The 11,651-nt window shown below is 44.0% G+C and overlaps 1 long non-coding RNA gene across 1 annotated transcript; it reads left to right on the forward strand.

Annotated features, from left to right (window-relative positions):
* The first annotated feature begins 1,783 nt into the window (after positions 1-1,783).
* Positions 1,784-10,806, forward strand: LOC124905306 (uncharacterized). Its single transcript, XR_007068460.1, has 2 exons — positions 1,784-2,653; positions 8,428-10,806. It is a non-coding gene; the product is annotated as an uncharacterized LOC124905306 (long non-coding RNA).
* Positions 10,807-11,651: the final 845 nt, after the last annotated feature.

Genomic DNA, 11,651 nt, shown 5'->3' on the forward strand with positions numbered 1-11,651 from the left:
CCCTGGAGCCGCGTCCCCTGCCTTGCAAGTTAGTTCTCCAACACGCGAAAAGGGTAGAGAGAACTGATGCGGTGACAGAAGCATTGGGTGAAGTTCACTTGGCACCACCCAATTTCTAATTCAGCCATATTTTTCATAGTTCTACAAACAAACGTCCAGCTGGGTCTGGGTGCTGTAATCCCTGCACTTTGGGAGGCCCAGGCGAGAGGCTGTATTGAAGCCAAGAGTTTGAGACCAGCCTGGGCAAAACAGCAAGACTCCATCTCTACAAAAGTTTAAAAAATTATGTAGATATGATGGTGTGTGCTGCTAGTCCCAACTACTTGGGAAGCTAAGACGAGAGGATCGCTTGAGGCCAGGAATTTGAGACCAGCCTGGACTCCATGTATAGAAATATGTATGTGTGTGTGTGTGTGTATTTAAAAATATATATGTGTATGTGTGTGTATATGTGTGTGTTTATATGTGTGTGTATATATGTGTGTGTTTGTGTGTGTATATATATATAGATGGGTGTGATTGTGCACACTTGTGGTCCCAGCTACTTGGGAGGCTGAGGTAGGAGAATCACTGAGCCTTGGAGGTTGAGACTCTAGTGAGCTATGACTGCACCACTGCACTTCAGCCTGGCCAACAGAGCAAGACCTTGTCTTGCTCTGTTTTCATATATATATATGCTGGGTATGGTGGCGCACACCTGTGGTCCCAGCCACTCAGGAGGCTGAGATGGGAGGATTGGTTGAGTCCAGGAGGTCAAAGCTGCAGTAAGCCATGATTGCACCAGTGCACTCTTTCCTGGGCCACGGCAAGACTCTGTCTCTAAAAAAATAAAAGGGCACAGACACCCACAGAGGGATGACCACGTGAGGATGCATTGCTTGAGCCTGGGAAGTTGTGGCTACACTGAGCTGTGATCACGCCACTGCACTTACCAGGCTCAAGTGATCCTCCTGCCCTAGCCTCCTAAGCAGGTGAGACCACAGTTTTGTGTCACCACTCCCGGCTAATTAATTATTTGTAGAAATGAAGTTCTAGGTTGCTCAGGCTGGTCTGAAAATCCTGGGCTCCAGTGATCCGCCTTGGCCTCCCAAAGTGCTGGGATTATAGGCATGAGCCTCTGTGCCCAGACCAACTGAATTCTTAATTGGTGTCTTGGTAGTTCATTAGTTAATCTGCCTCAGTTTCCTTTAAATGTTTGACCCTAGGCCGTGCACAGTGTCTCTGGCCTGTAATTCCAACACTTTGGAGAGAAGTGTTTGGGATACTGAGGTGGGCAGATCACCAGAGGTTAGGAGTTCCAGACCAGCCTGGCCAACATGGTGAAACCCTGTCTCTATTAAAGATACAAAATTACCCAGGCGTAGTTGTGGGCACCTGTAATCCCAGCCACTCGGGAGGCTGAGGCAGGAGAATTCCTTGAACTCGGGAGGGAGAGGTGGGTAAGCTTCAGTTGCACCACTGCACTCCAGCCTGGGCAACGAGAGTGAAACTCTGTCTCAAAAACAAAACAAACTAAAAAATACTGAGCTTGTCCTCTGGCTAAGCTCTATTAAGAAGGTTGTGTGCTGTCATCCTGTTGTACGTATTTGAGAAAAGTTCTAGATTTCACTTCTTGTCCATCTTTCATTTGATCTTTAACAAAAAAACAAATGGAGACAAGGTCTTGCTCTGTTGGCCAGGCTGAAGTGCAGTGGTGCAGTCATAGCTCACTAGAGTCTCAACCTCCAAGGCTCAGTGATTCTCCTACCTCAGCCTCCCAAGTAGCTGGGACCACAAGTGTGCACAATCAAACCCATCTAATTTTTTTTTTTTTTCACTTTTTGTAGCAGTGAAGTCTTGATCGCCTGGCTTCAAGTGAACCTCTGGAGAGACAGGACTAGCTGGATTTTCTAGGCCAACTAAGAATCCCTAAGCCTAGCTGGGAAGGTGACTACATCCACCTTTAAACATGGGGCTGGCAACTTAGCTCACACCCAACCAATAAGGTAGTAAAGAGAGCTCACTAAAATGCTAATTAGGCAAAAACAGGAGGTAAAGAAATAGCCAATCATCTATTGCCTGAGAGCACAGAGGAAGGGACAATGATCGGGATATAAACCCAGGCATTCAAGCCAGCAATGGCTACCCTCTTTGGGTCCCCTCCGTTTGTATGGGAGCTCTGTTTTCATGCTATTTTAAAGTCTTGCAACTGCACACTCTTCTGATCCATGTTTGTTACAGCTTGAGCTGAGCTTTTGCTCACCATCCAGCAATGCTCTTTGCCACCATCACAGACCCGCCACTGACTTCCATCCCTCTGGATCCAGCAGGGTGTCAGCTGTGCTCTTGATCCAGTGAGGCACCTGTTGCCACTCCCAGTTGGGCTAAAGGCTCACCATTGTTCCTGCAAGGCTAAGTGCGCGGGTTTGTCTAGTTGAGCTGAACTAGTTGAGCTGGGTTCCACAGTTCTCTTCTGTGACCCATGACTTCTAATAGAGCTGTAACACTCACAGCATGGCCCGAGATTCCTACTTGGAATGCATGAGGCCAAGAACCCCAGGTCAGAGTAGAAGAGGCTCACCACCATCTTGGAAGTGGCCCCCACCATCTTGGGAGCTCTAGAAGCAAGTCCCCCTGGCAACCTTTTGGCAACCACAAAGGGACCTCCAAAGCAGTGAGTAATATTGGACCACTTTTGCTTGCTATTCTGTCCTACCCTTCCTTAGAATTGGAGGAAAATACTGGGCACCTGTCAGGTAGTTAAAAACGTTAGCATGGTGCTGGACTTAAGACTCAGGTATGAGGCTGTCTGGGATAGAGCTTTCTAACAATCTCAACCCTTCTTGGTCGGGAGCATTGGTCTGCCTAGAACCAGCATCCTCTTTGATTATTCCTGGGGAAGCAGAGGGCTAACTAGAGGCAGAAAGCTGTCATCCCTAACTCCCAGCATTAGCTGTTTGAGATCATGGTGCAGCCAGAAGTCTCTACTCAACAGTCGCCCATGCGTGTGCCCCCACCTTTCCTTCTGATCTATACCTCCTGGGTCCTGACCATGACTTTCTTGAAAGTGTAGCCCCAAAATTCTCCTTACTTCTGAATCTACTTCCTCCAATCCCTGCCTCCTAATTAATAATGGTTCAGACTTTCATTTCCTCTAGCAAGTTGTATCTCCAAAGGGATCTAAGGAAGCTCTAAGCTGCATCCTTAGGCCCCTAGGCTATGAACCCAGAGAGTCTTTTCCCTGATATCCCTCCCAATTTATGCATACAGCTCTCAACATGGGCAGTTATGTGGGACCCATTCCCCACTACCCTTGCCAAGGCCCCAGGTTTCTAAAGGGCTAGCAGAAAACAGAGAGACAGAGGGGAGAGAAAGAGAGAGAGGCAAAGCAAGAGTCAAAAAGAGAAAGAAAGAAGAAAGAGAAAGAAAGATAGAAGAAAAAAACAGTGTGCCCTATTCCTTTAAAAGCCAGGGTAAATTTAAAGCCTGTAATTGATAATTGAAGGTCTTCTCCAAGACCCTATAACACTCCAATACTACCTTGTTGGCATTGTAAACAAGGTCATAACCTGAAAACACTGAGACCACTGGCAACTCGTAGCCATCCTATCAAAAATCCTTAACCCAGGAACCTACAGATGGCCCAAATGCATTCAATTTGTAGCAGTAACTACTTTGCTAACAGAAGAAAGTAGAAAAGTAACTTTTGGGCGAAACCTCTTTGTGAGCACATCTCACCATTTCAGAATTATTCTAAGTCAAAAAAGCATAAAGGTAGCTTACTAACTCAAAAATCTTAAAGTATGGGGCTATTCTTTAGAAAAAGGTGATTTAACATTAACCACTGAAAATTCCCTTAACCCAGCAGATATCCTAACAGGGAATTTAAATCTTAATTGCCATACAAAAGTCCGACCACACCTACGAGGAACTCCCTTCAGGACAGGAGGATAGATGGTTCATCCCAGGTGATTGAGGGGGAAAAAACAAAAATACAATGGTTATTCAGTAATTGATAGGGAGACTCTTGTGGAAGCAGAGTTAGGAAAATTGCCTAATAATTGGTCTGCTCAAACGTGCTAGCTGTGTGCACTCAGCCAAACATTAAAGTACTTACAGAATCAAAAAGACTGTACCTCAATCCTGACTCAAAAGGTTACCTACACCCTCTCTGAAATAAATTTGCGTAAGAACTGTTGTTTATAGCAATGCATATTGATGGGGCAGCTGGGTTGTTATGAAATACTCAGGAACCCAGCCCAGCTCTAGAACTCACCTATGAGTACAAAGGCAATGTTGGGCACACTTGGTAAAGGACCACTAGAATCCAGCAGCCCAGACCACTTTCTTTCTTGGTGGTCAAGAAGGGCAGGAAAACAGGTACAGTACTGCCGCATTGGTGAGCATAACTTATCCATTAAGCAGAAGTCCATTGGTGGTTACACACCCTGGAAAAGTATAAGCATTATGACCATAGAGGACACTCTAGGACTAATGCTCATCAGAAAATGACTGGGGTGCTGATATTCCCCCCAAGGCAAACATTCCCTCCAAGGCAAAGATGCCCCAAAGATGTATTCTGGAGTATTCAGCCCAGTCAGAGAATATGTACCTGTTTCCTTGTCAGACTTGAAGAAAATTGAAATAGACCTAAGTAAATTCTCAGATAACCTTGATGGCTATGTTAATGTTTTGTAAGGGTTAGGACAATCCTTTGACCTGACATGGAGAGAAATAATGTTACTGCTAGATTGGACGCTAACCCCAAATGAGATAAGTGCCACCATAACTGCAGCCTGAGAGTTTGGCAATCTCTGCTCTCTCCATCAGGTCAATGATAGGATGACAACAGAGGAAAGAGAACAATTCCCCACAGGCCAGCAGGCAGTTCCCAGTGTAGACCCTCAATGGGATGCAGAATCAGCAAATGTAGATTTGTGCCACAGACATTTGCTAATTTGTGTGCTAGAAAGATTGAGAAAAACTAGGAAGAAGCCTATAAATTATTCAATGATGTCCACTATAACACAGGGAAAGGAAGAACAGCCTACTGCCTTTCTGGAGAGACTAAGAAAGCCGCTGAGGAAGCATACCTCTCTGTCACCTGACTGTGTTAAAGGCCAACTAATATTAAAGGATAACTTTATCACTCATTCAGTTGCAGACATTAGAAAAAAACTTCAAAAGTCCACCTTTGGCCTGGAGCAAAACTTACTATACCCTATTGAACTTGGCAACCTCATTTTTTTATAATAGAGATCAGGAAGAGCAGGCGGCAAATTGAATGCCTAATGGGGCTTGCTTCCAGTGCAGTCTGCAAGGACACTTTAAAAAGATTGTCCAAATAGAAATAAGCCACCCCCTCATCCATGCCCCTTATGTCAAGGGAATCACTGGAAGGCCCGCTGCCCCAGGGGATGAAGGTTCTCTGAGTCAGAAGCCACTAAACAGATGATCCAGCAGCAGGACTGAGGGTGCCCAGGGCAAGTGCCAGCCAATGCCATCACCCTCACAGAGCCCCAGGTATGCTTGACCATTGAGGGCCAGGAGGTTAACTGTCTCCTGGACACTGGCATGGACTTCTCAGTCTTACTCTTCTGTCCTGGACAACTGTCCTCCAGATCTGTCACTATCAGAAGGGTCCTAGTATAGCCAGTCACTAGATACTTCTCCCAGCCACTAAGTTGGGACTGGGGAACTTTACTTTCACATGCTTTTCTAATTATACCTGAAAGCCCCACTCCCTTATTAGGGAGAGACATTCTAGCAGAAGCAGGGGTCATTATACACCTGAACATAGGAGAAGGAACACCTGTTTGTTTCCACCTGCATGAGGAAGGAATTAATCCTGAAGTCTGATCAACAGAAGGACAATATGGATGAGCAAAGAATGCCTGTCCTGTTCAAGTTAAACTAAAGGATGCTGCCTCCTTTCCCTACCAAAGGCAGTATCCCCATAGACCCAAAGTCCAACAAGGACTCCAAAAGGTTGTTGAGGACCTAAAAGCCCAAGGCCTAATAAAACCATGGACTAGCCCCTGCAATACTCCAATTTTAGGAGTACAGAAATCTAATGGACAGTGGAGGTTAGTGCAAGATCTCAGGATTATCACTGAGGCCACTGTCCCTCTGTACCCAGCTGTACCTAAACCTTATACTCTACTTTCCCAAATACCAGAGGAAGTAGAGTGTTTTGCAGTCCTGGACCTTAAGGATGCCTTTTTCTGCATCCCTGCACATCCTACCTCAATTCTTGTTTGCCTTTGAAGATCCTGGAAACCCAATGTCTCAACTCACTTGGACTGTTTTACCCCAAGGGTTCAGGGAAAGCCCCCATCTGTTCACTCAGGCATTAGCCCAAGACTTGAGCCATTTCTCCTACCTGGACACTCTTGTCCTTCAGTATGCGGATGATTGATTGATTGACTGATTGATTGATTTTGAGATGGAGTCTCCCTCTGTCACCCAGGCTGGAGTACAGTAGTGCAATCTTGGCTCACTGCAAGCTCCGCTTCTCAGGTTCACACCATTCTCCTCCCTCAGCCTCCCCAGCAGCTGGGACTACAGGTGCACACCGCCACACCCGACTAATTTTTTGTATTTTTAGTAGATACAGGGTTTCACCATGTTAGCCAGGATGGTCTTGATCTCCTGAACTTGTGATCCACCCACCTTGGCCTCTCAAAGTGCTGGGATAATAGATGTGAGCCACTGTGCCCAGTCGTGGATGATTTACTTTTAGCCACCCATTCAGAAACCTTGTGCCATCAAGCCATACAAGCGCTGTTAAATTTCCTCACCACCTGTGGCTACAAAGTTTCCAAACAAAAGCCTCAGCTCTGCTCACAGCAGGTTGCATACTTAGGGCTAAAATTACCCAAGGGCACCAGGGCCCTCAATGAGGAACTTACCCAGCCTATACTGGCTTATCCTCATCCCAAAACCCTAGAGCAACTGAGAAGTTCCTTGGAATAACAGGCTTCTGCTGAATATGGATTCCCAGGTATGGCGAAATAGCCAGGCCATTATATACATTAATTAAGGAAACTCAGAAAGCCAATACGCATTTAGTAAGATGGACACCTGAAACAAAAGTGGCTTTCCATGCTCTAAAGAAGGCCCTAACCCAAGCCCCAGTGTTAAGCTTGCCAATGGGGCAAGACTTTTCTTTATATGTCAGAGAAAAAACAGGAATAGCTTTAGGAGTCTTTACAGAGGTTTGAGGGACCAGCTTGCAACCTGTGGCATACCTGAGTGAGAAAATTGATGTAGTGGCAAAGGATTGGCCTCACTGTTTACAGGTAGTGGTGGCAGTAGCAGTCTTAGTATCTGAAGCAGTTAAAATTATACAGGGAAGAGATCTTACTGTGTGGACATCTCATGATATAAATGGCATACTCACTGCTAAAGGAGACTTGTGGCTGTCAGACAACCATTTGCTTAAATATCAGGCTCTATTAATTGAAGGGCCAGTGCTGTGACTGCGTACTTTTGCAGCTCTTAACCCACACACATTTATTCCAGACAATGAGGAAAAGATAGAACATAACTGTCAACAGGTGATTGCTCAAACCTACGCTGCTCAAGGGGTCCTTCTAGAGGTTCCCTTGACTGATCCCTATCTCAACTTGTATACTGATGGAAGTTCCTTTGTAGAAAAAGGATTTTGAAATGTGGGGTACGCAATGGTCAGTGATAATGGAATACTTGAAAGTAATCCCCTCACTCCAGGAACTAGCACTCAGCTGGCCGAACTAATAGCCCTCACTAGGGCACTAGAATTAGGAAAATGAAAAGGGGTAAATTTATATACAGATTCTTAAGTATGCTTACTTAGTCCTCCATGCCCATGCAACAATATAGAGAGAAAGGGAATTCCTAACTTCTGAAGGAACACCTATCAAACATCAGGAAGCCATTAGGGGATTATTATTGGCTGTACAGAAACCTAAAGATGTGGCCGTCTTACACAGCTGAGGTCATCAGAAAGGAATGGAAAGGGAAATAGAAGGGAACTGCCAAGTGCATATTGAAGCCAAAAGAGCTGCAAAGCAGGATCCTCCATTAGAAATGCTTATGGAAGGACCCCTAGTAAGGTGTAATCCCCTCTGTAAAACCAAGCCCCAGTACTCAGCAGGAGAAATAGTATAGGAAAACCCATGAGGACATAGTTTCCTCCCCTCAGGATAGCTATCCACCAAGGAAGGAAAAATACTTTTTCCTACAACTAACCAATGGAAATTGCTTAAAATCTTTCACCAAACCTTTCACTTAGGCATTGGTAGCACCCATTGGATGGCCAAATTATTATTTACTGGATGAGTCCTTTTCAAAACTATCAAGCAGATAGTCAGGGCCTGTGAAGTGTGCCAAAGAAATAATCCCCTGCACTGCAGGCCATTTGAATCCCTATATCTTTAACTTCCTTGTTAAGTGTGTCTCTTCCAGAATCGAAGCTGTAAAACTACGAATCATTCTTCAGATGGAGCCACAGATTCAGTCCATGACTAAGATCTACCACAGACCCCTGGACCAGCCTGCTAGCCCATGCTCCGACATTGATGACATCAAAGGCACCCCTCACAGGGAAATCTCAACTCCACAACCCCTACTACAATACAATTCAGCAGGAAACAAAGTGATCATTGGCCAACCTCCCCAACAGCACTTGGGATTTCCTGTCGAGAAGGGGGACTGAGAAGTAGAACTAACTGGATTTCCTAGGTCGACTAAGAATCCCTAAGCCTAGCTGTGAAGGTGACCGCATCCACCTTTAAACACAGGGCTTGCAACTTAGCTCACACCCAACCATTCAAGTAGAAAAGAGAGCTCACTAAAATGATAATTAGGTAAAAACAGGAGGTAAAGAAATAGCCAATCATCTATCACCTAAGAACACAGTGGGAGGGACAATGATGGGATATGCACCCAGGCATTGGAGCCAGCAATGGATCCCCTCCTTTTGTATGGGAGCTCTGTATTCACGCTATTATAAAGTCTTACATCTGCACATTCTTCTGGTCCATGTTTGTTATGGCTCAAGCTGAGCTTTTGCTCTCTGTCCACTCCTGCTCTTTGCTGCCATTGCAGACCCACCACTGACTTACACCCCTCCAGATCCAGCAGGGTGTCAGCTGTGCTCCTCATCCAGTGAGGCACCTATTGCTGCTCCTGATTGGACTAAAGGCTTGCCATTGTTCCTGCATGGCTAAGTGCCTGGGTTTGTCCTAATTGAGCTGAACACTAGTCCCTGGGTTCCACAGTTCTCTTCTGTGACCCACGACTTCTAATAGAGCTATAACACTCACTGCATGGCCCAAGATTCCATTCCTTGGAATCCGTGAGGCCAAGAACCCCAGATCAGAGAAGAAGAGGCTTGCCACCATCTTGGAAGTGACACAAGATGCCATCTGGGGAGCTCTAGGAGCAAGGACCCCTTGGTAGCACTTCCAGCTCAGCCTCCCAAATCACGCTATTACAAGCATGAGCCACTCTTTGTGGCCGCCACCTACTTTTTGAACTCCAATTGTATTAAACACCATAATAGACACTTTTGTCTGTTATATTTCATGGATCATAAACTTTTTTATGTATAATTTTACCTTTTATTTTAGATTCGGGTGGTACAAATGCAGGTGTTTTACATGGGTATATCATGTGACACCAAGGTTTGGAATACAGATGATCCCATCACCCAAGTGCTGAGCATAGAATCCAACTGTTAGTTTTTCAGCCTTGCCCCCTCCATCTCTCCACACTCTAATATTCCCTAATATCTACTGTTCCTAAATTTATGTCGATGTATATATTATATTTCTTAGAGTTCCCTGAATAATGGTCAGGGAAGGTAATGTGAATGATGCAAAGATGATTATGAATAAAATATTCAGTTTTCTGGAGTGAGCAGGACACTTTTTCATGCAAAATTCCATTTGAATCCTCCACCTCCAGCCAGCGCGGTGTAGGGAGAGGAAGAGAGACAGACCTATTAAAAGTTATATTTGTTCTCTTGCAGTCTTGTGACTTACTTCTTAATGAAAACCCTTATTGTTTTATAAGAAAAGGAGAATGAATGCAGTGTTTGAGATGGAGTTATCTAGAATTTTTAGAAGCATAAACAGACATTGAAAAATTATAGAAAACAAAGGCAGAAAAGCAGAAAAGACATAGTAGGTCAGATGGTATTTTAGGCAAATACACCATAAACTGGCCACCCAGGTCTGCATCTCTAGGGCTTTCCCAAAGAGGAGCAAAGCAGTTTATATTCTATTATTATCACCACCATCACCTTTATTTCCCCCCTTACATGATGGATGTCAATATCATGATCATTCTCGTTGTCTGTATAACCGTCATCATCATCATTAATACCTCATAAATTTTTTCATGTTATTTTTAACATAGTTAGAAAGAAAGAGATTTTGGGCCTCCCAAATCACTAAGCTAAAAGGAAAAGTCAAGCTGGAAACTGCTCAGGGCAAACCTGCCTTCCATTCTATGCAAAGTCACCGTCTGTTCACTAAGACAGATGTATATTCTGATTGCTTCTTTTGGAAAGACTTATCAGAAACTCAAATGAATGCAACCATTTTTCTCTCAGCTACTTGTGACCTGGAAGCCAGTTCCCTGCTTCTGTTGTCCCCATCTTTCTGGAAGAAGCTAATATACTTCTTACATATATTGATTGATGTCTCATATCTCTCTACAATGTATAAAACTAAGCTGTTCCCCTACCAACTTGGGCACATGTCATCAGGACTTCCTGAGGTTGTGTCATGGATGTACGTCCTAAATCTTGGCAAAATAAACTTTCTAAATTAAACCAGACCCATCTCAAATTTTGGCAGCTCACAATAGCACATAAACAACACACCTTCCCGTTCCCCAAAATATTAGCGCAGGATAAAAATCTAAGAGTATTTCATAGCAACTGATAGTTTGACCAAAAAAAAAAAAAGTTTTCTTTTCCCAAAATAAAGTTCTGTGGCTTCTGTCAGGGAAAGTTTTTTGTTTGCTTATTTGTGGGTTTTTTGTTTAGTTTGGTTTCGTCTTTTGTTTGTGGCTTTGGTGGTTTGTGGTTGGGTTTCTTTCTGGCTTAAACATTTCTTGGTGAACAAATGTTTATGTCTTCAGGTCTGTAGACTTAGATAACTATCTTAATCTGAGAAATCTAAAGTTTTGAATTGTTCTGTGAATACCAGTGAAGGAATCCACCTTCCCTCTGAAACCATATTCACAAGGCCTAACTTGAGGATGCTAGAACCATTTTCAACAACAAAGACACCACATTCATGCTTCCATGGCATACTGCATGTCCACTTCAAGATAGCACCTTTGTATACATTTGATTATTCCCCTTACACCCATCTTACTTTGTAGTGTCTTCTGAATGATGAACAACCCAAGACTTATATGGTCAGAACTGAGATCTGAGATTGTCAGAACAAAGTGTCCTACTGTTTTTTTTCTGCTTGGAATGTTATTCCACAATATTCTACAATATTCAGTGCCATGCAATTGAATGTGAAATATTCAATAAATATTCAATATTCAAAAACATATTCAATGCTATTCAAAATATTCTATGCCAAATACAGGAACTGGACAAGAAGAAGGACCCTAGTCTCAATGTTGAAACAGCATCCTGTGTCAGGCATTGCCAGTGTGAACCA

This window comes from Homo sapiens, chromosome Y (genome assembly GCF_000001405.40).
Source record: "Homo sapiens chromosome Y, GRCh38.p14 Primary Assembly".
Classification (NCBI taxonomy): domain Eukaryota; kingdom Metazoa; phylum Chordata; class Mammalia; order Primates; family Hominidae; genus Homo; species Homo sapiens.